Source organism: Homo sapiens, chromosome 2 (assembly GCF_000001405.40).
Source record: "Homo sapiens chromosome 2, GRCh38.p14 Primary Assembly".
NCBI lineage: Eukaryota > Metazoa > Chordata > Mammalia > Primates > Hominidae > Homo > Homo sapiens.
The window spans coordinates 96,536,136-96,562,564 of record NC_000002.12 but is presented as its reverse complement, the minus strand read 5'-3'; the positions used below and the strand labels follow the sequence as shown (position 1 = coordinate 96,562,564).

The 26,429-nt window shown below is 54.8% G+C and overlaps 1 protein-coding gene across 13 annotated transcripts, besides 6 other annotated features; it reads right to left on the bottom strand.

Moving 5' to 3' along the window:
• Positions 8,231-8,756: an enhancer, noted in NCBI's record as "H3K4me1 hESC enhancer chr2:97219546-97220071 (GRCh37/hg19 assembly coordinates)". NCBI's record gives its function as "activates a minimal SCP1, AML or CMV promoter by ChIP-STARR-seq in naive H9 embryonic stem cells {active_cell/tissue: H9 hESC(naive)}" and the evidence as "EXISTENCE:reporter gene assay evidence [ECO:0000049][PMID:30033119]".
• ARID5A (AT-rich interaction domain 5A) lies at positions 9,927-25,813 on the bottom strand. 13 transcript variants are annotated; one of them, XM_017003183.2, is made up of 9 exons: positions 25,735-25,813; positions 24,244-24,413; positions 21,888-22,033; positions 15,048-15,163; positions 13,106-13,244; positions 12,760-12,812; positions 12,280-12,536; positions 11,832-11,991; positions 9,927-11,466 (listed from the first exon to the last, which is right to left on the bottom strand). In XM_017003183.2, exons 3-9 carry the CDS (start codon positions 21,919-21,921, stop codon positions 10,252-10,254), a joined length of 1,974 nt encoding a protein of 657 aa, XP_016858672.1. In that variant the 5' UTR covers positions 21,922-22,033; positions 24,244-24,413; positions 25,735-25,813; the 3' UTR covers positions 9,927-10,251. The 13 variants fall into 13 exon arrangements, with proteins under 13 accessions (XP_016858672.1, XP_047298957.1, XP_047298956.1 ...); XM_047443001.1 differs by lacking the exon at positions 25,735-25,813 and having other exon boundaries at positions 12,280-12,377; positions 24,244-24,686; XM_047443000.1 differs by having other exon boundaries at positions 21,888-25,813.
• Positions 10,550-10,609: an enhancer, noted in NCBI's record as "active region_16222". NCBI's record gives its function as "activates an Ori minimal core promoter by ATAC-STARR-seq in GM12878 lymphoblastoid cells {active_cell/tissue: GM12878}" and the evidence as "EXISTENCE:reporter gene assay evidence [ECO:0000049][PMID:35858748]".
• Positions 23,492-24,037: an enhancer, noted in NCBI's record as "NANOG-H3K4me1 hESC enhancer chr2:97204265-97204810 (GRCh37/hg19 assembly coordinates)". NCBI's record gives its function as "activates a minimal SCP1, AML or CMV promoter by ChIP-STARR-seq in primed H9 embryonic stem cells {active_cell/tissue: H9 hESC(primed)}" and the evidence as "EXISTENCE:reporter gene assay evidence [ECO:0000049][PMID:30033119]".
• Positions 24,255-24,374: an enhancer, noted in NCBI's record as "active region_16221". NCBI's record gives its function as "activates an Ori minimal core promoter by ATAC-STARR-seq in GM12878 lymphoblastoid cells {active_cell/tissue: GM12878}" and the evidence as "EXISTENCE:reporter gene assay evidence [ECO:0000049][PMID:35858748]".
• Positions 24,645-24,854: a silencer, noted in NCBI's record as "silent region_11772". NCBI's record gives its function as "represses an Ori minimal core promoter by ATAC-STARR-seq in GM12878 lymphoblastoid cells {active_cell/tissue: GM12878}" and the evidence as "EXISTENCE:reporter gene assay evidence [ECO:0000049][PMID:35858748]".
• Positions 25,535-25,894: a silencer, noted in NCBI's record as "silent region_11771". NCBI's record gives its function as "represses an Ori minimal core promoter by ATAC-STARR-seq in GM12878 lymphoblastoid cells {active_cell/tissue: GM12878}" and the evidence as "EXISTENCE:reporter gene assay evidence [ECO:0000049][PMID:35858748]".

Below are 26,429 nucleotides of genomic sequence, written 5' to 3'. Positions count from 1 at the left end.
AGAATATACTCACCCTGTTTAAAGATTCCCCAGAAGCCTTACCCTTTCCAGCATTGGCTTAAAATCCAGGATGTCATCATTTACCTGAAGATGTCACCAGATGTGGATGAGGCTTCTTGGGCATAATTTCTCAAGTATAGTAGTTCTATATCCAAAGACTTGTGAACTAAAAGGAATTTTTATCTATCCCTGACATGTTCAACCACAGTGGTGGGACCGGCATAGGATAACTGCAGTGGACATTCCTATTCAAAAAGGGGAACGCGGGAGGCACCTAAGAGCCACTGGTCCCTGGCAGCTTTGAAATTCAGTGGGGTGAGTGTTGGAGGCTCCTTGATGAGGATGCACCCGTGCACCCGTTGGGGAGTGATTCTCCATGGGATAAAGCTCCCCGGAATGTGGAAGTCCCTCCCAGCAGATATCCCTTAGATCTTGCATTAGTCAGCTCGGGCTGCCAAACAGAACACCGTAGACTGGGTGGCTGAAACAGCAGTCACTTATTTTCTCATAGTTTTAGAAGTCGGAAGTGTAAGTTCAAGATGCTGGCAGGGTTGGTTTTGGAGGAAGCTTGTCTTCTAGGCTTGCAGACAGATGCCTTCTTGCTTCGTCCTCTCTGCTCATGTGCAAGAGAGTGAGTTCTGGTGTCTTCTCTTCTTATAAGGACACCAGTCCTATCAGATTTGGCCCCATTTAACCTTATTTATGACCTCATTTAACCTTAATTGCCTTGTTAAAGGCCCTAAGTCCACATGCAGCCATATTAGGGGTTAGGGCTTCAGCATCTGACTGTGAGGAACACAGTTTGGTCCATAACATCTCACTGGCTGGAGCTGGGCCATGTGGCTCCTAGCTGCCAAGGTGGTGGGGGATGTGGGGGACAGAATTGTTAATGATTGGCCAAACCGTGTGAGGCCTCCACCACTCATGTCCTGTTACCTGGGGTCGTGCTCTGAACCAAGCTGGGATTCTGTTAGCAAGGACAAAGTGGGAAATGGATGTGAGATGGACAGTTAGCAGGGTCTGCCACACTGTCCCCAGCGATGCTCCTGACCAAGCGTCTAGTCACACTCCTTGAGCCTAGGGACACAGGGCAGAGATGGTGGGCACCAATTCGTTCTGACCCCACCTCCCCAAGGAGACTTGCCCCATCTCTGCCCCTCCATCTCCATGCACTGATCTGGCCTGTGCTTTCCAAGGCCTGATCTTTGTCCAGTCCTTCAAGACTGTGAGACACTGTGTACTCCCTACACATCCCCTTTTTCTGGCTTAAATTACCCAGATGGTTCTTGCTGCTTGCATTCAACGACTACTGCTGAATGCTCACTTTAAAAGTAATAGAAATAACACATGATATATATTATGAATGTGTATGTGTGTGTGTGTGTATATATAATATATATATGTTTTCCATTTTGCTACATAGTCCTCCTGTTCATAATTTCAACACCACAAATGCAGTCTTCTTACCCGAGACTTGGTTGTCACCTCTGCACCCCTTCTTCCATTGCTGAGCATCTCCAATCATTTTCTACAATAAATTCCCAGAAGCGGGACTGCCGTCAAATGGGATGAATATTTTTACAGCTCTTGAAATATGCAAGAGGCCTGTGGTAAATTATACTCTCAACAGCAATGTGTAGCACTGTTTTTTTTTAAATTCCATCTCACTATATATTTGTAATTTAAAAAGAAAGAAAATGTTGTTTTCTTTTTCTTTTCACATATCTCAATTCCTAAATTAGAGAATTCCTGTCAAACTATGTCCCCAAGTTTTCTGGTTTGGGAACTGTGGGGATGTGGTAAGAAGGGAGATGGGGGAAATGGACAATCTTTTTTTTTTTTTTTGAGACTAAGTCTCACTGCATCACCCAGGCTGGAGTGCAGTGGCGCGATCTCAGCTCACTGCAACCTCCACCTCCTGGGTTCAAGCAGTTCTCCTGCCTCAACCTCCTGAGTAGCTGGGATTACAGGCATGCACCACCACGTCCGGCTGATTTTTGTATATTTAGTAGAGATGGGGTTTTACCATGTTGGCCAGGCTGATCTCGAACTCCTGACCTCAGGTGATCCGCCCGCCTTGGCCTCCCAAAGTGCTGGGATTACAGGCATGAGCTACGGCGCCTGGCCAAAATGGACAATCTTTTATTCGATGTTACAGCTACACATGCAAACGCACAGCACACACACGCTTGCACGCATTAGCAGTTTACTCCTCAGCTCCTCCTCAGAGAAGCAGAATAGAGAAACTGAAGACGGGCTGAAAAGGGCAGATCCTGCCAACACACTTAAACTGGAGGAAAGCTAAGAATCCAGCCATGGCAGACCATCTGAAGTCCCTCTCTGGCTTCTCCTACTAGCCCATCGTCCTTGAGCCACAGTCCCTGCATCTTAGCATTGTGAAGCACTGGGCTCTTGGGGTTCAGATCTTGTCCCTTTTCTTGCCAGTGACCTCGGGCAACTCAATCTCCCTTAGCCTCATCCTGTGGAACCCGGGATGAGAACAGAACTTTCTCCTAAGGGGGCTGTGAGAAGAAATAACTCCTGGGACCTGCCTAGCACCAAGCCTGGAGCAAAGTCAGTACGGAATAAATATTATTGTCCTGCCTATGTGCATTCTCGTTGCCTCCTGGAAAGTGGTATTGATTGTGATTCGTGTTCATCCTGCAGACAGGTATGTCATCCCTTGAATATCACTGCACTTGTTTCCCAGGGCTGCCATGACAAAGTACCTCAAACCAGGTGGTTTAAAACAACAGAGGTAGGTGCATAGCTCATGCTTGGAATCCCAGCACTTGGGGAGGCCAAGGTGGGTGGATTGCTTGAGCTCAGGAGTTTGAGGCCAGCCTGGGCAACATAGTGAGAGCCCATCTCTACAAAAAAAATGCAAAATTAGGTGTAGTGGCACATGCCTGTGGTCCCAGCTACTCAGGAGGCTGAGGTGGGAGGATCACCTGAGCCTGTGAGGTTGAGGCCGCAGTGAGCCAAGATCACACCACTGCACTCCAGCCTGGGCAACAGAGCGAGACCCAGTCTCAAAAGTAAATCAATAAAACAACAGATATTTCTACTTTCCCAGTTCTGGAGGCCACAGTGTTGACAGAGCCATGCTCCTGGAGGGGAATCCTTCCTTGCCTCTTCCTGGCTGCGGCTGGTTTGCTGGCAATCTCGGGCATTCCTTGCAGCCGCGTCGCTCCAGTCCTGTCTTCACGTGGCACTCTCCCTGTGTTCATGTCTTCACACGGCTATCTCCTTACAAGGATGCCGGTCATAGTGAATGAGGGTCCACGCTACTTCACTGTGACCTCATCTTAACAAATTACACCTGCAACAACCCTATTCCCAAATAAGGCCACATTCTGAAGTGCTGGGGGTTAGGACTTCAACATATTGCGGGGGTCAGTGTGGGGGAGTGGCAGAAGTCAACCCAAACCCACCATTTTGATTTGGATGGCTGCTTCTCAGCAGAGGAGATATTCAAGCATTTTCACCATTGGTCAGGCACTGTCGACCAACAGCTAGGAGGTCGATCCTAGAAATGAGGATTTAGAGAAAAGCCCCCAATGAGGGTGGAGGAAAACGAGCCTTCCTCCTTTCTCTGAGTAGTGAGTTCCAACGTGTGGAGCCTCCTGGAGCTGCAGGTGGTGTCTGGAGGTCTAGACTCTGATGCGGACCCACGTCAGGAACTGGGTGTGGCATGTGCTGCATAGCTGGGGTTGAGGCAGCTTCAAGAAGCAGTTGTGGGTTGTGTCCTTGTTTTGAGTCCCTTCTGCTGCTTTCCAGAAACTTTAGTAAAACCTTATTAAATGTCCCTGCTCGGTCTCATGGGTGTGTGCAGGGTGGGGAGGGGAAGGGACGGGGTGTGGCTGTATTTCTGAAGGAAGAATCAAGGGCGGGTTCTCTCCCTTCTCCAAAGCCAGATGGGAATGTGGCGGAGGTTATTGGTGGGAAGAGCCGCTCCTCCCCAGGGCCAGAGCGATCTGGGCAAATGCAGTGGGAAAGAACCTGGGGCTGCCTCCTGAGCATGCAGGAGCCCTCTGGGAACCACTGGGACGCGGAGGAATACCAGGGATGTTTCTGAATGTTGCTAGTGGGCACATGTACCAAAATAATTTAGGTGAAAAGAAAAGAAAGGAAGGGACCCCTGTCGTATGGGGCTAGGTATAACTTGGGGTTGGTGGTGAACGGGAATCGTGAATTGCCCTCAGGGAGTTGACAGTCTGGGAAGGCAGGGATGCAGGAAGTCATGGGTCCACAGTGGCGGGTGGAGAAGCACTGGATGCTGTAGGGGCACACGGGATGGGTACCTAAGCCAGGAAGGCTTCCTGGAGGAAGAAACTTCTGAGAGGCTGGAAGGAAAAGTGGGAGCAGTGACATGTTTTTCGGGTGAAAGGAGTGGCATGTCCTTCTATAGTTGAGGGACAGCCAGGCAGGCCAGGGAGCTGGAGTGGGGCCTCAGGGATCAGCCAAGACAGAAACTGCAGGGGTTTGGGTGCTGTGGGTGGTGGAGGGTGGGGTGGAGGTGAGCCAGGAGCCTGGGGAAGGAAGCAGAGCCCATGAAGAGCCTTCCAGACTGAGGCATTTGGGTTTTAACTTGAGGTCAGTGGAAGGTCATGGACCAGGTTTATGCAGAGGGGTGAGCTGATCAGAGCTGGACTTTGAAATGATTTTTTTTTTTTTTTTTCCTGAGACAGAGTCTCGCCCTGTCACCCGGGCTGGAGTGTAGTGGCGTGATCTTGGCTCACTGCAACTTCTGCCTCCCAAGTTCAAGCGATTCTCCTGCCTCAGCTTCCCAAGTAGCTGATAGCACCTACCACCATGCCCAACTAAATTTTGTATTTTTAATGGAGACGGGGTTTTGCCATATTGGCCAGGCTGGTCTCAAACTCCTGACCTCAGGCAATCTGCTCACCTCGGCCTCCCAAAGTGCTGGGATTACAGGCGTGGGCCACCGTGCCCGGCCTTGAAATGATTTAAAAAATTTATCATCTACTGATTATCCCCATACTCAAGGCCACAGGCCCCAGCTCAAAAGCACTGCAGTTACTCTACAAATGACACCAGAATTGTTCCACTTATACTCTATCCTATTGGTGTGGATCCTAGATCATCCCTCTCCAGCTGCTGTGGAAAGACCTTTCTGGTTTTTGGACAGCCTACCTGGGTTTCTCCCAAGAGGCAGCCTCCCTGACGACTACCCAGGGATCAAACTCTGTAGCTCAAGGCCAAGGATTTGACTGCCCAATCCAAGACCTGCTCCTCCACAACCCTTGCTCATGTGGGAGAGAAACTAGGCAGCTCTGCACAGGAGCTGTGGCTAAGATGTGGCAGTGAGGTCAGGACCTACATCAGACAGACCATCATCAGGCACGATTAGATCATCATGCATGTAGACAGAGATGGCAACTAAGTGGCTGGTGAGCCTCCGCACCGCTGCCTGTGGCCTTGGCAGACATTACTAATCAATTGCATCACTGTCACACTGAGTCAGCCCCAAGCTGCAGACAGCCACCATCAGTCAAAGTTGATACCTGGGGGGAAGTGACTTGCCATACTTGACTCAGATGCTGACAGGATCCAAAGTTCAGTGTGACTGTGAGTCAGAAGCCAGGCGGGAGAGCGGGAATGTTAAAAAGCAGTGAGGTAAAGGGCAGGGCACGGGGCGGTCAGGCTGGTAGAGCAGAACTGCTGGTGGGGAAGGAGGTGATGATCCACATTCATCAGAACTTTAGTTTACAGAGCACTTTCACTAAATGCCCACCACTCTTGAGGTAGGAGTGACTCATTTCCATATCACAGGTGAGGGAATGGAGGCCAAGAGAAGGGTATGCACCTGGCGTCACCCAGCACAGCAGCTACTGTCTTGGTCTACGGAAGACACACCTCCTCTGAGGTAACAGCCTCAGAGGTTACCGGGTAAGCAGAGGCCTCAGATAAGATTCTCCCCTCACAATGCATCCTGAAGCGGGACCCCAGGGAGAGAAGGCAGTTGGAGCTGAGTCGGCAGTGCGTGCTGTTAGGTGATTGACCCCTGGCTGGGGGCGGGGGGAGCCCTGATGTGTAGCACGTGCTGATTTCTTTCTTTTCTTTCTTCCTTTTTTTTTTTTGACAGTCTCACTCTGTCGCCCAGGCTGGAGTGCATGGCACGATCTTGGCTCACTGCAACCTCTGCCTCCCAGGTTCAAGTGATTCTCCTGCCTCAGCCTCCGGAGTAGCTGGGATTACAGGCGCCTGCCACCACGCCCGGCTAATTTTTGTATTTTTAGTAGAGACGGGGTTTCACCATGTTGGCCAGGCTGGTCTTGAACTCCTGACCTCAGGTGATCTGCCTGCCTCGGCCTCCCAAAGTGCTGGGATTACAGGCGTGAGACATAGCGCCTGGCCAAAAATTCTGGTTTTTAAAGAGAAGCCTGATACCCACATTTTTATGTGAAATCTGATTTTTAAATTCTGGCAACTATTTAAAAACATTTAGCTGGCTGCCGTGACATGCACCTGTAGTCCCAGCTGCTTGGGAGGCTGAGGTGGGAGGACTGCTTGAGTCCAGGAGTTTGGGTGCTGCAATGCATGATGGTCTTGCCTGTGAATAGCCACAGCACCACTCCAGCCTGGGTGACACTGCAAGACCCCATCTCTTAAAAAAAAAAATTAAACACATCTCAGGCCACTGTCAGCAGCCTCTGTTGTTTGTTTTTTTGAGACAGAGTTTCACTCTTGTAGCCCAGGCTGGAGTGCAATGGCACAATCTCAGCTCACTGCAACCTCCGCCTCCTGGGTTCAAGTGATTCTCCTGCCTCAGCCTCCCTGGTAGCAGGAACTACAGGTGCATGCCATCACGCCCGGCTGATTTTTGTATTTTTAGTTGAGATGGGGTTTTGCCATGTTAGCCAGGCTGGTGTCGAATTCCTGACCTCAGGTGATCTGCCTGTTTTGGCCTCCCAAAGTTCTAGGATTACAGGCATGAGCCATCGCACCTGGCCCACCCTCTGGTTTTGAGGGTAAACCTTTGCTGAGTGGTGGAGGTCTCTCACTTCCCTGCCTGGGCTCCCAGTTGCCCCTCTGCTTCCTCCCCTGCCAGCCCATGGCTGTGCCCACCCTGAGACCACTCCCTCAGCTCCCTCCAGTGCAGGTCGCTTCTCCACGCTGTCCCGAGGTGGGGGTTGCTGCCAGCCCATGTTGCTGCCCCTGCATCGTGGCCTTGCTGTGGACCCCGAGCCCCTCCTCCCCACTTCTTGCCTGACCTTGGCACAAAGGCGGTGACTCCAAGGATTCCCACGCCCCAGCCCCTTCGTTCCTTGGCCTGCTCTCCTCCACTCACTCCCACGAGTGCACCCAGGTACAGGGAACGTCAGCCATGCCTCTTATCCCCAGGCCACCTCCTTGAGTCCTGCGGTTCTCGGAGCCCCACTGCGCTGCATCAGTCCCGCCAACCGTCCTTGGCTCCCCGCACCCAGCCTGGACTCCAGGCCTTCCACTGGCCTGGCTCCCTGCACTCGCCTCAGCTCCCTGTCCCGCTCTGCTGTGCCAGACTGTCCCGGCCCAGTGCCTCCTCGGTGGAACCTGACTCTCCCCTACTCCGAATCGTCACACAGCTTGTGGCCTGGTCCCGCCGAAACCCAAAACCCGTGCCACCAACCTCAGGTGGAACCTAGTGCTTCCCAGAGGCCCCAGGGCATGGCGGTGCTCCCGTCTGAGATCACTCATTCTCGTCCCCTCCTCCCCTCAACCTCAGGTCTCCAGCCCTGGTACTTGTCCTCAGTCTCTGCTCACTGAGGAATCAGAGGCACTGACGGGACCCCACCATTCAGGCGGGTTGTGAGCCAGGACGCTACCCTCCGAGAATCGGGTACAGCTAGTACCGGGCTGTGGGGCACTGGGCCCAGAGGGTGCCCTGGAAGCATGACTACATCCGGCTCTAGCATCTGTGCCAAAGCAGGGTCCCCTGCGTCCTGCCCAGGGCGCCCACCTGCCCAGGACAGACGTCCCACGGGAAGTGCATTCTTCAGATCGGCCTCCAGAGGGCGCCGTGATCGCAGCGCTGAGCTGCCTGCCCTCAAGTCCTGCTGACGGGCCGCCTGCCCATCTTTGTGCCAGGGCCAGGCCAATGTTGCTTCGTAGATGAAGGGCACCCTGCCCCATGCTGGGCAGGACCCTGCACACAACAGGGTCACCTCCCCTTTTATCCAGGCAGGGGATCCGACCCCAGTGATCTGTGGCCCAGCACCCAGGGCCTGGAGGGTGGGCAGAACTCAGCTCCTCCCTTCTTTTTTTTTTGAGACCGAGTTTTGCTCGTTGCCCAGGCTGGAGTGCAGTGGCGCAGTCTCGGCTCGCTGCAACCTCTGCCTCCCGAGTTCAAGTGATTCTCCTGCCTCAGACTCCCAAGTACCTGGGATTACAGGTGCCCGCCACCATGCCTGGCTAATTTTTGTAGTTTTTGTACAGATGGAGTTTCACCATCTTGGCCAGGCTGGTCACAAACTCCTGACCTCAGGTGATCCACCCCCCTTGGCCTCCCAAAATGCTGGGATTACAGGTGTTAGCCACTGCACCCAGCCCCTCCCCGTTCTTTATCATCCACTGAGCCTCCACAGCTCGGAGAGATGGACTGCACACGGGCGCATGTGGCAGTGCGGAGCTCAGGGCTGGTCACTCCAGGTGCTCAGGCTGACATCTTGGCATCTCTCAGAAGGAAAGAGGTGGAAGGTTGGGAGATGCCCCTGCAGAGCCTGAGTGCTCTCAACAGCAGGGAGCACCACTCTTTGCCCCTCCACCCGTCACAGGCCTCGCTTGGAAGGTGCCTGAGCTCTCCTCCACAGGCTGCTCCTGAAGGAGGTGGCCAGGGGCAGGGGCTGGATAGGGTGCCCTTTTGGCCTGGCCACCCACTCCCTGGTGCCAGGCATGCTGCACGTTCCCTGGTCTGGGTTCTGTCATCGTGGATGGTAGCCTTGGGCAAGCAAGACCCTGCCCATCCCCGGCCTTGGCCTCTCTACCTGCAACCTATGGGGGCCCTTCCCATGGCCGGAGTTCATGAGCATCCCAGCCCCAGCGGCCAGGGTAAGTTCCAGTGGTGCGTGTCACCCACTGACCTGCTCACACCTGTAGCCCCGACATCTGCCCTCTGCTTGGCCAGCAGTAGCCCCACTTTTCCAGGACTACATGTGAAGCTGTTTGGGTGCAGGCTGCTTGTGGAGGGAGGGGACAGTGCCTCTGAAAAGAACCCACCCTCCCTCCTCCTGAGCCAAGGCCCTGCTCCCATCCGGCCTGCAGGAAGCAGGGCGTCAAGCCGCAGGGATTCTAATATGAGCCCTGGGGCAACCACATCTGAAACTGCAGGGGCTTGTTACCGATGCAGACACCCAGGCCCAGACCAGTGGATTTGCTCCCCTTTCCCTCCAGGCACCTCCGGTGATTTCAATCCAGTGGTCATTCTGGTCTGTCCATGCGGTTCAGGCAAGTGGGGTGGGGCTGCAGAGAGGGCTCAGCTGCAGGCCCCAGAAATCTACATCCACCACCAACGCAGACCAACTCAGGCTTCCTGGTCACACCCCCAACCCCCCAGGGGCACTGGTAACAGCCTGGGGTCCCGCTCAGAGCACGGGAGTCACACAGCCTGTGCAGCCCTCCCCTGCCCCTCCTGCCAGGGGAACCTGGGCAAGTCACCGACCCTCCCAGGACCTCCAATCCCCATCTCCACAATGAGGAAGGCAGCAAGCATTCCCTGAAGCTCAACTAGGAAACTGGACTGAAGGCAAGGACAGATGTTAGAGGCTGCCTAAACGGCAGAGGCTGGGGTTTGCTTTGGGCCCGCTCTTCAGTGGGGTAGTGGCGTTCAGGTCCACCTCCTTGGCCCCCTAATGGCAGCCCCACCCACAAGCTCACCCCCGCCTTGCCTGCCGTTGCAAAGGCCCATACCACACACACCTCAGGGCTACGTGGATTCACACTGGTGTCTTTTTATTGGATTTTCCGTGGGCAACCTGGGTGCTTCGAGCTCCGCTCTGGGGCAGTGGGAGCTGCCCATCCTCTCCCAGCGCCTTATAACAACTGGGTCCTCTGCTCCTGGGCTCAGGCTGCTGCCTTGAGATAAACCCAGTTTTCCCACTGCCTTCTTCTTCACTTGTGCCAGGCTGCCCAGCCAGGGGCATGGCCCGGGTGTCCTGGGTAGCAGGCACTAGTTCAGAGCCCCCTGGCAGCAGTACCTGCCTGTTGTAGGCCCCTGTCGACTCCACAGTGTACACAACACCATGGGCTGGCCTACAGCTTGGTGTTGAGGTGGAAGAAGTGGGGCGCTGCATAGGTTGTGACTGGTGGTGCGTGCCAGGCAGATGAGGCCGGGCAAAGTCTGTGGCGGAGGGCACTGTCGAAGGACGTTGGGGGGAAGTGCATCAGGCCAGCGGCCATGGGCGAGGGGCCTGCGGTGGCCAGGAAGTGGGCCGGGAAGGCCGGGATGACCAGGGGGCTGAAGGGGAGTGCAGCCTGGCCCTTCAAGGGGCCCGGGGTGCCAGTGAAGTTCAGCGGGCAGTGCAGCATGGTGCCCCTGTAGGCCTCTGGGGGCACAGGCCCCAGGGCTGGGCCCAGAAGGCAGGAGACCAGGCCGGACCCTGCAGGTTTGGCCCCACACTTCTTGGCATCCGCCTCCTTAAGAAAGGGAGACACGGCCCGCAGTCTCTTCCCACTGTGGGCAGCACCCTCTTCCTCCAGGCTGCGCTTGCTGCCCAGGCCTGGGCTACTGGGGAAGGTGGGCGGGAGCGTGGGGCTCTCGGCTGGGACCTTGGCCATGGGGGACACCCAGCAGGCTTTGGGCTTGGGGTAGAGGATGCCCTTTCTGGAGCCACCTTTATGGAACGCAGAAGGGCGGTTAGCGTCTCCGCCCCACACCAGCTGGGGCTCTTTCACTGACAGCCCCTCTTTGCCAGGAGGCCCCAATAGCACCCCATCTTTAAGTCTAGAGAAGAAGTCCCTGGGGTGCTGGCTGACAGGCTTCAGCACCTCGGTGGGGTGGGTGTAGAAGCAGCCCTTGAAGATGGGGGCTGCCGGGCAGGGGCCTGCCTGCGCCTCCTCTCTGAGGCTGCCACCTGGGGCCTGCAATCCCTCCTGAGGGGTCAGCCGGTGCCTGGAGTTCTCAGTCAGCCCTTTGGGGCTCTGGGGACTCTCTGGGAGGTGAACAGCTGGGGACGCCTGGGGCTCTGCCCCATGGCGGCAGCCCTCCTCCTGGCACTGCAAGGCCTCCACCTTGCTCACCTGGGCCAGGAGCTTCTTTTTGGCCAGTGGTGACATGATGCCGTGTGTCCCCTTGCAGTAGAAGCTGGATAGGAGCCGCTTGTAGGCCTCAGGACAGCCGCTGGCACCCACAAAGGACACAGAAGACCCAGAGGCCAGGCCCTGCTGTTCTGTGCTGTTCCTGGGGGGCTCCTGGCTGGGAAGTGGTGCTGGGTCAGCAGCATCTGCTTTGGTCTTTCCTGGCATCATCTGGAATGAGAGAAAGTCTTGCCTCAGGACTGCCTCAGCCCCACATCCTGACCTGAGGAGCAAGAGGTGGCACTTTCAGGCCTGCCCAGGTCCCCCGCCAGCCCCTGCAGTCCTCTGTACAGAATTTTCCAAAGGTGCCCTGTCCTCTGAGTGGACACAGCCTCAGGTGCCTGGTGGGTGGGCGCAGGCTGGAGTTCAGAGTCCACTTGCACAACCATCTGTGGAGAACCTGGAACCTTGCAAGTCCCGCCCTGGGTGCAGGTTCTGTGTATTCTGAGCAGACAGCTCCGCGGCCACAGGGAGTTGTGGGGTAGGGGGCTACAAGAGGCAAGGGACAGGGTGGCCCCAGCCAGCCGCAGGCCTACCTGGTCCATGCGCCGCTCCTCCTTGGCCTTCTTCGGCCTCTCGGTGGCCCCATCATCCCCCCTGTTCTCCTTAGCCATCTTGTACTGTTTCCTGGGCTTGGAGGTGGGCAGCGGCTTGTCATCCTCCCCCTTCAGGTGCCGCACGTATGGCAGGACCAGCCTGGTGAGGAACCACGCATGTCCCCCAGGAGGCCGGCGCCCATCCCCTCCCTGGGCCTCTGTAGCCTCCTCTGAGCCCCCTTCCCCGCCGGCGCCGAGGAAGGCCCTCTCCTGGTCCCAAAGCTTCAGCTCCCTCAGTGAGTGCGCCCAGCCAGCCTGGGCTCCCGCAGCTCTGAGGACGGCGCATACCCTGCCCGCTCCGGGCAGAGTCCACCCGGCCCTCCCGGCAAGGTCGGCCAAAGCCCCGCAGGGTAGGCGGCGTCCAGCACCCGGGCCCGCCCCGCCGTACCTCTCGTAGTGGCGGCGCGTGCACGTGGCCGCGCTGGTGCTGCCTGGGCTGCCCCCCAGCTCGTCGTACACGTTCTTCCAGAGGCGGCGCCCGGTCACCTGCAAGGGCACCTCGTGAGGGCGCGGCCGGCGGGCGCCCCCTGGCGGCGGGGTCCTTGCAGCTCCGGCCGCCCTCGCAGGGACTCGAAGGACTGCAGTTTGGCAGCTGCTCTGCGGCTCCAGCAGCGGCCAGCCGATTCTCTCTCCTAGGGCCATGGACTGCTGGCCCAAGCAGTTTTCCCAACACGGGGCGGGCAGAACAGATGGGGAAGGCTGAAAAGCTGCTTTGAGCAGCAGAGTACCAGCGGGGAAGGCAGGGAGGCAGGGACGCAGGGGTAGGACTGGGGATCCTGGCTCTTCCTCTGTCCAGAGGCAAGGACAGCGCTGCAGGCTCACCCCAGGGATATGCAGTTTGGCAAGGACTGGGAGGTGCCTTCCTTACCAGCTCATAGGCCCCCAGCTTCTCCACTGCTTTGTAGATCTTCCACAGGTTAACTGGGGGAGAGAAGAGCAGGCTGGCCGTCAGTCTCTGTGGGAGGTGGGGACAGCATGCCACCCCTTCCTGGTGCCCTGACAGGCCAGGCACAGACCAGCACACACCCAGCCAGGGCCACTGCAATAGACGGGCAGGCTGTGCCCTGTGCACCCCTGGCCCAGTGGCAGCCTGGAGGGAGGCCTCCTTTCTATCTGCAACCTGGGTCACCCAGAGTGGGAGTGCCTGCCCGATGCCCTGCCTGGGCGGGGTCCCCTGCTGGGCCCCCCTCCCTGCCTGCACCCCAGGGACGCACTCTGCTTGAAGCCGAGATGGGGCACCCTCTCGATGGGCGTGTGTCGCTCCTTCATGAACTTGTAGAGGCTGACCAGGAAGGCCTGCTCCTCCTCCCGCTCCTGCTCCTCCTCCCGCTCCCCGCCTGCCTCGGGGGAGTCCTGGGGAGAGAACAGGAGGCATTGGGATGGGCCCCAGTTGGTGGCTGGCTGCTGGGGATGTGCAGAAACCACTGGCTGCAGGAGGAATAAGGTACCTACCCCAACCCCAGTTTCCCAGAGAACACCTAGCCACTGTTCTGGGAGGGAGTGACTGTTCCTGGGTTCGGCAGACACAGGTGTCAGCTCTCAGCGCCCCAGGACAGGAGCTAGAGTCCAGGACCTCCCCGGAGGCTGGGTACCCCAGAGCAGCTGGCTCCAGAGGCTGCCACGAGAGCAGTCCCCAGCCTTCTCCAGGCCAGGGTCACTTCTCTGTCTTGTTCTTGATTTGTCCTATTTGTGTCAGCTCCTCCGCCAGACTAGGAACTCCAGGAGGGCAGGCTCAGTGTCCCTGGGACTCCCCCATAACCGCAGAGGGAAAAGCTGAAGGAACAAAGGTGCTTGGTGCTTTCTGGTGCCCTGGGGTTACTCTGTGAGGCCCATGTTCCCCGAGCCTCTGTGTGGCCCCAGCCTGCCGTGCTGAGCACAGGGAGGTGAAGCTCTGGGCTTCAATTGCGCACTGCTGTCAGGGGCACAGGACTTTTGGTTGCGGGTCCCAGAGGGGCAATCTCTGCTGATGCCGTTTATCCAGCGAGTGGCTCGGGGCAGAGAGCCTAGGGCCCATACCCTGCTCAGAGAACAGACAGCTTCCAGGACATAAACCATCTGGACTAGGACAGCGCAGACAGCCATGTGTTCCAAAAATATTTGATCCAGCTGGGCACGGTGGCTCACTCCTGTAATCCCAGCACTTTGGGAGGCCGAGGTGGGCAGAGAGATCACTTGAGGTCAGGAGTTTGAGACCAGCCTGGCCAACATGGGGAAATCCCATCTCTACTAAAAATACAAAAATTAGCCAGGCCTGGTAGTGCATGCCTGTAATCCCAGCTACTCGGGAGGCTGAGGCAGAAGAATCATTTGAACCCAGGAGCTGGAGGTTGCAGTGAGCCAAGATTGTGCCACTGCACTCCAGCCTGGGTAACAGTGAGACTCTGTCTAAAAAAAAAAATAATAATTGATTCAAGTTTATTTCAGTGTTTTTACTTTTTTTGTTAGTTGTAAATAGCTTCTGTAATAGCTCAGTGTTTTTAAGGTATTAAAGACCTCTAAGAAGAAACAACATAGGAACTCACATATCACCCATGAAATCATAACATGCTGGGGCCCTGGGGCTGGTCTGTGCAGACCTCAGAAGGAAGGCTCTCTCATAACTGCTCAAGTCAATCTGCTCCTCCAGGCCTCTATTCTGAATTCCTGGCAAGCTGCTAAAGACAACTACCATTTGCAACCACTTTTCTGCATGAATCAGGATATTTTTCCAGACTGTGCCACCAAAGCAAATGGCCAAAATGAATGAAAGCCGGGGCCGACTGTGCTCCGAAAAAGCTGCCTGCAGCTCCCCCTTCAGATTCTGTGCTCATCGAAACAGTCTTGCTGGTCTCACCGAGTGACTTTATACGCCCATGTTATGCATCTGAATGAATGGATGTGAATGTGGTTTTACATCATGGGCTGGAGCTTTTGTCTGTTTAATGGATCAGGGTGGTAGGTCATCTTCATTTCAAAAAAGGGTTCTGCTACAAAAACCAAGATTGAAACTCTCTGCCACAGATGACAAGTAAGTCCCCTGGCTGCTGGGCAGGGCCAGGGTAGGAACATATCTCCCTCCTGAGAGCTTGGGGAGTGTCCAGGTTCACCTGGAGGCGGAGCACAGGTGAGGGTGGCAGGGAAGAGTGCCCAGGGAGTCAGCAGAGGGAGTCAACTCACCTCCAGCGAGATGGGGTTCTGGATTCCGTTCTGCTTGCCAGCAGGTTTGGGGGATGCAGGTGGGTCTAGGGCGTCACCCTCCGTGGACTGCTTCCTGTTCCCTTTGACAGGGGCTGCTGCAAGGAGAGAGGGAAGGAGTAAGGAGGAAGGGGTGGGGAGAGAGCATATGAGATGCAAGCAGGGAGGAACAGGAGCACTCTCCCTACTCCCAATTGGAGTTGCCAGAGGGCGCCAGTGCAGGGGCTCACTCCTGTGATCCCAGCACTTTGGGAGGCCCAGGCAGGCGATGACCTGAGGTCAGGAGTTCAAGACCTGTCTGGGCAACGTAGTGAGACCCCGTCTCTATTATTAAAAAAAAAAAAAGAATTGGCCAGGGGGAAGGGGTGTGTCCCTGGCTGCACATAGGCTACATGCACACACACACACAGGCCCTCCTCCCCGCTCCCCGACAACCCGCTGCATCCGCTCCACACCTGTCCCTTTTCTTTCCTCTGCTCCAACTATCTCCCCACATCTTTGAAGGAAACGCAAAACCACCTTGAGGTCAAGTCACAGGAGGCCGGGGTTGGGCTGTGGTGCTTGGGGAAATCCTGTCTCCAAAATCTGCCCCATGCTCAGACACAGAGTTGAGAAGCAGCTTAGTCTCACTGGAGAGCTAAAGGATCCCATGGCTGTGGCCCCAAAGCAACACAGGGGTCCCTGGGTAGTAGTTCCTCTGGGAATATTCAGGAATATCTGACCTTTCCCTGAGCATCTGCAGAGTTCTAACTGCCCTAATAAGGCCACATGCTCTCCTCACCTACAAGGGTCCTGGTGACCCCTCAGGTCTCTGCTGACAAGTGCCTTCCTCTGGGTGGCCTCCTCTGGCCCCTGGCCACGGGCAGCTCCTCCCTCGCCCTAGGCTACTCACAGCCATCCTGGCTGAACTGCCTGTGGCTCCTGGGGCTCCCTGATAGTTCGGTGAGGCTTCCCATACCCCACACAGCAGGTGCCAAGCTGGAATGAGCAAGGCTCACAACAACCCTGCGTGGTGGGCAGGAGAAGCCATGGGCTGTATTTTACTAAGAACCACCATGTGCTGATGGTTGCAAAAACGCAACACCTCTGCCACTGCAAAAACCACAACCACTGGAAACTGCCTGAGGCCACACAGCAGGCTGGCAGCAGATACCAGACCAGGAACCCACATCTTCTGACAACCTTTTCTTTCTGTCCTTTGTTCTTTTGTTAATCAAGTATGAATTGGTTCACTCCCTCCCAGGACATCCTTATTGTTAGGAACCTATGAGATTTCCCTTCCATCCCAGACAGAAAAAGAATCTCCTCAGGAACAAGAAACCCAAACCAGCGTAAGCCAGGGGCCAGTGGTACTCAGAGGCACAGGGTAGAATCCTTGGCCACTGAGTGGTCCTGCTTTGGTAGGTGTTCTTATGTCTTCCCTCCATGTTGATGGCTGCTGACTGATTTCAGGGTGGTGGTTTCTTGGGCTGGGGTGACTGTGGCAATTTCTTAAAATAAGACAACAATGAAGTTTGCCACATCCATTAACTCTTTTTTTTTTTTTGAGTCAGAATCTTGCTCTGTTGCCCAGGCTGGAGTGCAGTGGCGTGATCTTGGCTCACTGCAATCTTCGCCTCCCAGGTTCAAGTGATTCTCCTGCCTCAGCCTCCCGAGTAGCTGGGACTACAGGTGCGTGCCACTAAGCCCGGCTAATTTTTGTATTTTTAGTAGAGACGGGGTTTCACCATATTGGCCAGACTGGTCTCAAACTCCTGACCTCATGATCCACCCACCTCGGCCTCCCAAAGTGCTGGGATTACAGGCATGAGCCACTGCACCTGGCAACTCTTCCTTTCATGAAAGACTTCTCCATGGCATGCATGTGATGCTATTTTTGACAGCATTTTATCCACAGCAAAACTTTCAAAACTGATGTCCCTCCTCTCAAACCCTGCTGCTGCTTTATCAACTAAGTTTCTGTAACATTCTAAATCCTTTGTTGTCATTTTGACAATGTTCACAGCATCTTCGCCAGTAGATTCCACCTCAAGAAGCCACTTTAGGATGGGCGCGGTGGCTCACGCCTGTAATCCCAGCACTTTGGGGGCCAAGGTGGGTGGATCACCTGAGGTCAGAAGTTTGAGACCAGCCTGGCCAACGTGGCGAAACCCTGTCTCTACTAAAAACACAAAAGTCAGCTGGGTGTGGTGGCAGGTCCCAGTAGTCCCAGCAACTCAGGAGGCTGAGGCAGGAGAATCCTTTGAACCTAGGAGGCGGAGGCTGCAGTGAGCTGAGATTACTCCACTGTACTCCAGTCTGGGCGATGGAACAAGACTCTGTCTCAAAAAAAAAAAAAAAAAAGAAAAAGAAAAAGAAAAGAAAAGGAAAGAAAAAAAAAGAAGAAAAAAAGTCACTTTCTTTGCCCACCCATAAAAAGCAACTCCTCATCCACTCAAGTTTGATCATGAGATTGCAGCAATTCAGTCTCATCCTCAAGCTCTGCTTTCTAACTCTAGTTCTCTTGCTGGTTCCACTGCATCTGCAGTGTCTTCTCCACTGAAGTCTTGAAGCCCTCAAAGTCATCCAGGAAGGTTGGAATCAAATTCTCCCAAATGCTTGGATATTTTGACCTCCTCCCACGAACCACAAATGTACCTGAAATGCTCTCCGGAGGTTTTCAATGTATTTTGCCCATCAGAGGAATCACTATCTATGGCAGCTACAGTCTTACAAAATGTATTTCTTAAATAATAAGACTTGAAACTTAAAATTACTCCTTGATCCTTGGCTCTAGAATAAATGTTGTGCTAGTAGGCATGAAAACAACATGCAGCTCCTGGTACATTTTCATCAGCGCTCTTGCATGACCGGTTGCCTTGTCAATGAACAATAATATTTTGAAAGGAATCCTTTTTTCTGAGCAGTAGGTCTCAACAGTTGGCTTAAAATACTCAGTAAACCATGTTATAAACAGATGTGCTGTCATCCAGGCTTTGTTATTTCATTTTTAGAACACAGAGTGAGTAGATTTAGCATAATTCTTAAAGGTTCTAGGTTTTTTGGAATGATAAATGAGCACAGGCTTCAACTTAAAGTCACCAGTACCAGCTGCATTAGCCCCTAACAAGAGAGTCAGCCTGTCTTTTGAAGCCATGCATTGACTTCTCCTTAGCTATGAAAGTCCTAGATGACATCTTCTTCTGATACAAAGCTGTTTCATCTACATGGAAAATCTGTGGTAGTGTGGCCACCTTCATCAGTGATCTTAGCTGGATCTTCTGGATAAATTGCTGCAGCTTCTACACCAGCCCTGGTTGATTCGCCTTGCACTTTTATGTGATGGTGATGGCGTCTTTCCTTAAACCTCATGAAGCAACCTCTGCTAGCTTCCAACTTTTCTTCTGCAGCTTCCTCACCTCTCTCAGCCTTCACAGCATTGGAGATTTAGAGCCTTGGTCTGGATTAGGCTTTGTCTTAAGGGAATGTTATGGCTTGTTGGATCTTCTATCCAGACTTCTCAAACTTTCTCCATTATCAGCAATAAGGCTGTTTTGCTTTACCATGCGTGTTCACTGGAATAGCACTTCTGATTTCCTTCAATAACTTTTCCTTGGCATTCACAACTTGACAAACTGGTGCAAGAGGCCTAGCTTTCGGCCTATCTGGGCTTTCGACCTGCCTTCCTCACTAAGTTTAATTATTTCTAGTTTTTTTATTTAAAAGTAAAGACCTGTAACTCCTCCTTTCACTTGAACACTTAAAGACCATTGTAGGACTGTTAATTGGCCCAGTTTCAATATTGTTGTGCCTTAGGCAACAGGGAGGCCAAAGAAGAGAAAGAGAGGAAGAGAGATGGGGAATGCTGGTCGATGGAGCAGGTGGAGGAGGAGCACACACAACATTTATCGATTTAGTTCACTGTCTTTGTGGGTGGGGTTCATGGTACCCCAAAACAATGACAATAGGAACATCAAAGATCACTGATCACAGATCACCATAACAGATATAATAATGAAAAAGTTTGAAATGTTGTAAGAATCACCAAAATGTGACACCGAGACACAAAGTGAGCACGTGCTGTTAAAAAATGGCATCGATAGACTTGCTCGATGCTGGGTTGCCACAAACCTTCAATGAGTAAAAAATGCTGTATTTGTGAAGTACAATAAAGCAAAGCATGATAGAGCAAGGTGTGCCTGTACATTCTCTCCCTCAGTCCCGGAGGAATTCCATTTTAAAGAGGGGGAATCTGAAGCCAGAATGGTTATGGGTAAGTTGCTTGCCTCCCTGGGGGACCAGGATTCAAAACAAAGTCTGATTCTGGTCCAGTGGCTGCTGTGGTTATCAACATTTGCAAGGCCTTCATGAAGAGTCCAAGTAAGCCTGGAGAGAAACCAGTCCTAAGGCTTGTCAAAGAGAAAGAGACCAGGGCCACCCTCTTGGGCTAGCCTCTGACCCACCAGTCTCCAGAAATCCTGGGTACTAACAAGTGACCCAGCAGACTGATGCCTTTCCAACCAAGTCCTCTGTGACTCTGTGCTTCAGTCTTCCCTGCTATGAAATGGGAGAGGAAGATCCTTGAGTTCTTTGCTAGCTATCCGTGAATTCCTGAAGTCTTCCAGGTCCAGAAGCACCTCCTCCACTGGCTCTTCTCCCACTGCCTGCTACCCTCAGCTCACACATCCCCTCCCCTCATTCCTGCTGCCCCAGAGCCTCAGCATCGACAGACCCTCTCCATGTCTTCCTTGGTGTGACTGGGGCTTCTTAAGTCACAGACTTGCTATGTGACCCTTGGCAAGTCGCTGCACCTTGGGCTTCAGAAAAATACAGTGGTTAGACAGGGCCCATCAGAATCACCTGGAGGAGCATAATGCTCCGGCCCCATCCTCAGAGTCTGATTTAAGGTCCAAGGTGGGGCAGCAGGGTTTAAAGCTCCCCAGGGCATCCCAGTGGGCAGCCAGGTTGTGAGCCACAGGGCGAGAGGGGCCCTAGTCCCTTCTGCATGGTTCAGAGTTTGCAAGCTCTGCCTGGACCACACCAGGGGAAAATCTCCTGGAGTTGGGTGCTCGTGTTACCTGGAAAGGAGGTCACCAATCCGAGCTGTTTAACCCCAGATGGGAAAGGGATTAGAGCTGTTCGCCTTAAGCCACAAAGGGAAACATTCTATCTCTGTGTCCAGCTGAGTCCCCAGATGAACTCGGTCTCCATTCTCAGGGTTAGTGCTCTGTCCTGCCAGGGCCCTCTGGGTTGCAGGCCTTTGGGCCCCCTCTTCTGCAGCATTAGATGAGCAAGAAGGGAGAGTCCTCTCCCCCTTGGTCTCCAGGGTGCCCTCTGTCTTGTCCCTGGCTGCCCTAATCCCTCCCTTTCCCTGATCATTCACAGATCAGGGTTATATTTGTAAAAGGGGTTCTGCTATAAAAAATAAGCTTGAAACCCGCTGCCATAGATGTTGGGCCATGCAGGTCCAGCGTTGGGAGGTAGAGAGCTGGGAGCCAGGCAGGCAGGACCTGCATGGTGGGGTGGGCCCTCTCCTGGCTCTGTGGAGGAGGGAAAAGGCTTATGGAGCTGGAGGCCCCGTCTCCCAGCCCCACTCAGCCCACAGAGGCAGGAGAAACCCACTTGCCCCTGATAGCTGCTGCTGCTGCTGTGAGCCACCGCACTACTGCCTTGTTCCCAGCCTGTGTGTGCAGATTCTTTTCTGGCACAATGCCTTACATGTTTTATTTGTAACAGAAGTGGGGGATCAAATGCAAAAAAGAAAACTGCTCTCCATAAGAATGTCATCCAGACTTCACCTTTCTCCATCCAGCAAGCAATAATGATGATGATGGTGATTATTGTCTCATTACTCACTTGTAACACATCTGGAATCTATTCCAGTATACAGGATGAAATAGGGATCCTAGCCATACTTTCCCCTCATTGGTTGGGGGCCCCAGTGAGTAGCCTCCTCCTCCAATGGTGTAAAATGCTACTTTCCCCATAATGTCAGTGCTTATAAGGAACACATCTGGGACTATTTCTGGACTTTCTATTCTGTCTCATCCACAGTGGGATGCTAGGACCTGTGCACACTGTTTTAATTTTTGTAGCTTTATAAAACAACTTACTATCCAGAGGGCAAGTTGCCCAATATTACTCATCTTTTAAAAATATTCCATTTGAACTTTGGGATAATTCTGTTACATTCCCTTTAAAAAAAAACAAAAACAAAAACACTTTGGGAGGCCGAGGCGGGCAGATCATGAGGTCAAGAGATCGAGACCATCCTGGCCAACATGGTGAAACCTCGTCTCTACTAAAAATACAAAAATTAGCTGGGGGTGGTGGCGCATGCCTGTAGTCCCAGCTACTCAGGAGGCTGAGGCAGGAGAATCGCTTGAACCCAGGAGGTGGAGGTTGCAGTGAGCTGAGCTCGCGCCACTGCATTCCAGCCTGGCGACAGAGCGAGATTCCTTCTCAAAAAAAAAAAAGGCCAGGTGCGGTGGCTCACGCCTGTAATCCTGGCACTTTGGGAGGCCAAGGCAGGCAGATCACTTGAGGTAAGGAGCTCGAGACCAGCCTGGCCAACATGGTGAAACCCCATCTCCACTACAAATACAAAAATTAGTGGGCGTGGTGGCACACGCCAATAATCCCAGCTACTCGGGAGGCTGAGGCAGGAGAATTGCTTGAACCCAGGAGGTGGAGGTTGCAGTGAGCTGAGATTAGGCCACTGCACTCCAGCCTGGGTGACAGAGACTCCGTCTCCAAAACAAACAAACAAACAAACAAAAAACCCCCACTACTGGGGCTTTGATTGCATTTAAATTTAGAAACTACTTTGAGGAGAAATAATACCTTTACAGTATTGCATCTTTCTTTTCAGGACCATGTGTCTCCATAATTCAGGTTTCCCTCTGCAGTCCTCAGAAGTTCCTTCTTAAAAAGCCCCTGTGCTTTCTTGGGGAGGTTTATTCCTAGTTTGTTCCTTGAGTTTTGTGCAGCTAGAAAATGGTGTTAGAAAAACCCTGATAACAGTAGTTCACTCCACAAAAGCCCCCCTGCGATTTCCTCATTTCACTGCTGGGAAGAGGGCCGAGGCAGGCTAGGTGGCTGCGCCAGAAGATGAGCCTGGGCTCCTAGTGACCCAGTCCCTTACTAAGCAGAGAGGGGGTGCGGCAGGGTGCTGGGCAGGAGGATTGCCTGAGGCTCTTCCTGTGCTATGAGTCTGATTTCTTTCCAACTCCATAGCTCCTGTCTGAGTCAAGCTCAACTCCCAGATCCTAAAACTCCAGCACTGAAGATGTTAGTCTGTCACTGCCTCCAGTAGAGGATGCTCCCATAGGTCTACTTGTTCTCAAGTTACATGCTCCACCGACTCAAATCAGTGCCCTGGCTGGTGTGGGCTAGGCATCTCATACAACATTGCATTGCTGAATCTTCCCAGCCATCCAGATATAACAGATATAATGTCTGAGGCTCAGAGAGGTTCAGTAACTTGCCTGGGGCCACAGAGCTTATCCATGGCAGAGCTGGGATTCAGAACCAGGGTAGTCTGACTCCTGAGAGACGCTGATCCCTGAGAGCTAGAGATTTTTTTCTTTCTAATGGGAGCAGGGAGACCTCAAGTTCCTTATCTGTGCTCAGAGGATGCAAACTTGTCCCCTTTCCCCAAGTAGATGTGCAGTTTCCCAGCACATCGCTCCTGTCACTCTGCTAACAAGAGCAGGTCTGTGTTGACTGCTAAGGCATCCAGGCTCAGGGATGGGAGGGGGCTGGTCAGAGAGCTGGGCAGCAGCGGGGAGAGGGGGAGGGCCGGGAAGGGGCATGGCCCCCACACTCTATGAATCAACTTCCCTGGCCTGGGTCGGGGAGGGCCCAGAGGACCCACCATCTTTGAATAAGGGGTGTTATCTCCATAATCTTGAGGAAGGAGGAAAGACCTGTTGATACCTACTGAGATTCCATTTAAAAAACTGCTACCTGTTACCTGAGAGAGTAGGGGGCCAGCTCTGGCCAGGGCCCAACCAACCTGGCGAAGCAAAGGCAGGTATGCAAAGGCAGGAAGGTGAAGGCAGTCGGGCGGTGGTTGAGAGTCACTGAAGACAAACTTAAGATGTCTCACGGGGCTTAGCCAGGACTAGAAGGTAGCTATGGGGCCAGGCAGTGGGTGGATGCGGGGAAGTCAGTGGGCCCCTGCCCTGCCAGACATCAAGCTGGAAGCAGATGAAAGTGGGCCAAGAGGACAGATGGGGCAAGGGGTTCCAGCACTGCATGGCTGCACCTCTTACCAAGTTGGTCACTGGTTCTGTATCTCCCTTTCCCCATCTACAAGATGGGCGTGCTAGACTCAATGTGCCCAATGTTCTCAGCAGAAAAAAGTGAGAAGAGAAAGGAGGCTTCCCCCACAAACCACAGCCAGGCTCAGTGAGAAGATCAGAGGCCTGCCTGTCCTGCTCCCTCCCCAAGGCACCTCGCTGCCCAGCAGGTGCTCCGGAAACATCAGCCTCCTGGGTGCAGGATGAGCGCAATGGACTTACAGACCCCTGTTGCCCAGAGAGGGGCAGTGACTAGTACAAGGCCACACAGCTCTCAAGTTTAAGGGTCTGCTGGAGGCACACACCCCTTTCCTTCTCTCCCTCCCCATCTTTCTGCTGCCCGCCCCACTCACCCTGGGTGTGATGGGAAGGAAGTGACACTTCCTTTCATGAAAAGTCACCGACTGGGAACACTGCGTCAATTACCACAATAATGGTAACAGCAGCCTCAATAACAACCAGCAGACGCCGCCCCGCCCCCTCGGCTGAGGTTGTTGGCTTAAGTTTCTCTAAGCTTGAGCTGGAGCAAAACAAAGACAGCCTTTGAAGCGGCGAAACGGCCGGTCCACTCGGCAGCCCGGGAGCGGCGGCCAGGCCGAGTCTACGCGAGCTTGCTCCAGCAGTTTGGGGAGGGGGGCCTGCCAAGTGTTGAGCTGGAGCCAGCAGTGAGAAGAAACGCGATGGGCCTGGGACCCCCACTCCCTAACAGGGCACAGGTGCAGCTCAAGCCACAGCCCAACCTCAGTACCTCAGCTTGGGGGAGGGCGAGAGAGACAGGGTCTGGGGGCAGCTGAGGCCACAAGAGCCACCAGAGGGTACAGAAAGGGAAGGAGGTGCGGGGGACACTGAATGTGAGGCTACCAACTTCCAAGCCCCATTCTCCCTGTCCCTCTTACCGGGCTCTGGGATGTCCTAAAAGCCCCAGTTCCAGGATGGGACTGTCCCTCCCCACGGAGTCTGGGCCACATTTGGTGGTGACGGACAGTGAGAGCTCCTCAGATGGTTTCGTGTGTTCCCATTTCACCTACGGGGCAGAGGCTCAGAGGTGCCAGTTGACGTCTCTCAACTGTAGAAGCAGATTATCGGAGGCCCTTTCTACCTCTGCCACACCAAGTTCTAGGCCCCAGGCGGGTCCCTAAGGCCTGGATTGGGCTCTGAGCTCTGCTGCGGGGTGAAGCCCTCGAGCCCCGACCTCCCACCCCTCCTGTGCTCTAGCGTTGCCTGTAGGCGCAGTGACGCCACCGTGCGTGTGGGCTCCCACCAGAGGAGCCCGGGTGGGGCAAGAGGCACCTGTTGTCCTCCCCTGGGGCCCGCGGAGCACTCCTTACTGGCCCAAGACTCTGCAAACAAAGGGACACTGGACCCGCAGCGCCTTGGGACCCCCTGGGCCCTCGGGGGTCCTGCACCGCGCAAGCCCCACCACGCCGGCGCTGGGCGGAGGGTGACGCGACCCCAGCCCGGGCGACCCCTAGACACCGCGGAGGGACGGAGCGCGGGCCCGGGTTGGCCCGCAGCTCCCGCCGAGCGCGAAGCCGGGCATCGCCTGCAAGCTCGTAGCCCACGCTCTTGCCCTCTTCCCCTGACGCTCCCCAGCCGCCACCCCGTCCCTTCTGCAGACCGAGGGAAGACAAGGGGACACACAAGGGACAGGAGAGGAGAGCAACCAGGGAAGCGACCCCTCTCCTGTGGGGCTGCGGCGGGTGGGCGGAGAGACAGGAGAGGAAAAGAGAAAAGGGAAGAGAAGGAAGGGGCAGGGGGCGAGAAGCCGGGCTCCCCGGACCATCGGCGCAGCCCGCGGCCGAAAGAGGAACAGTGGATCCTACAAAGCGCATTGAGCAAGTTCTTCACACCCGCGCAGCCCCTTTCAGGAAACGGCGGCCGCAGAGGAAAGGGCCGCGCGCTCTGGACCCGGAGTCTGTGCCCGGCGGCGCCGCGGTTCTGAAACCTGCGGGATGTCACGGGGCGGAGGGGCGGCTGCCGACAGCTGTCACAACAAATTAGCTGAGCCCAGCTCGAGGTGGAAACCGCAGCAGGAAGTGGGACGACAGAGCCGTACCGGGCTCGGCATATTTCAGGCAAGAGACGGCGAAAAGAGTTTCGAGATAAACGCCCGGGAAGCCCCTGGCCGCCAAAACTTTTTGTCTTTCCTTTTCTCGAAGCTCGCGCGGACGCCCAGCCTCACCCCTTCCGCGCCGGCCGGGGAGCGCTGAAGCCGCGGGCCGGGCTCGCTCCCCTTGGCCCGCGCCCCGAAACCCACCCCGGGCCCCTCTCCGCCCCACACAGCGCACCGACTGCCACGAGGGCTGGAGGGGACCCGGCGCCGGCACCTTGAACCTCCCTGCAGGGCCGCCGAGCCCCTGTCCGGGCCGCGCCGCAGAGCCGCTTACCCATGGCCCGGAGAGGTCCCGCGGCGCCCGCCCCGAGACCCTCAGCGCGCGGCTGTCCGGACCCCGCGCTCTCTGAGATACTGGCTCGCGGCGCGGCCCGCCGGCCACCTCCCCGCAGTCCCGCCCCGTCCCGCCCCTGCTCGCCCCACTCCGGGCTCCCATTGGTAAGCCCGGCTTCGTCGCGCGGAGAAGGCGGGGGGCGGGGACCGCCCTTGAGTCCGGGGACCTCTGGGAATTGTAGTGCGCGCCCCTCGCCTCTAGGCTTTCAGACTGGAGCCCCTGGAATAGGCTCCTCACCTAGAGGAGCGGAGGCAGGACCCTCAGTAATCATTGCTGCCTTGTGCCTCAGTTTCCCTGGAGGCAAAACTAGAGCCTTGGAAAAAGCCTCCTTGCTTTCAGCAGAGCACTGAGGACTCTGTGGAGCGAGCAAAGTGCTTCTGACTTTGATTTGAAAGTGGCCCTGTGCATTTCCCAGTCCCCACCTAGCCCAACAAAGAAGGCCAGGTGAGGCCGGGAGCGGCGGCTCACGCCTGGAATCCCTGCTTTGGGAGGCGGAGGCGGGAGGATCACTTGAGCCCAGAAGGTCGAGGCTGCAGTGTGTTTTGATCACACCACTGCACTCTATCCTGGATCCTGGGCAATAGACGGAGACCCTGCCTCAAAAAAAAAAAAAAAAAAAAAAAAAAAAAAAAAAA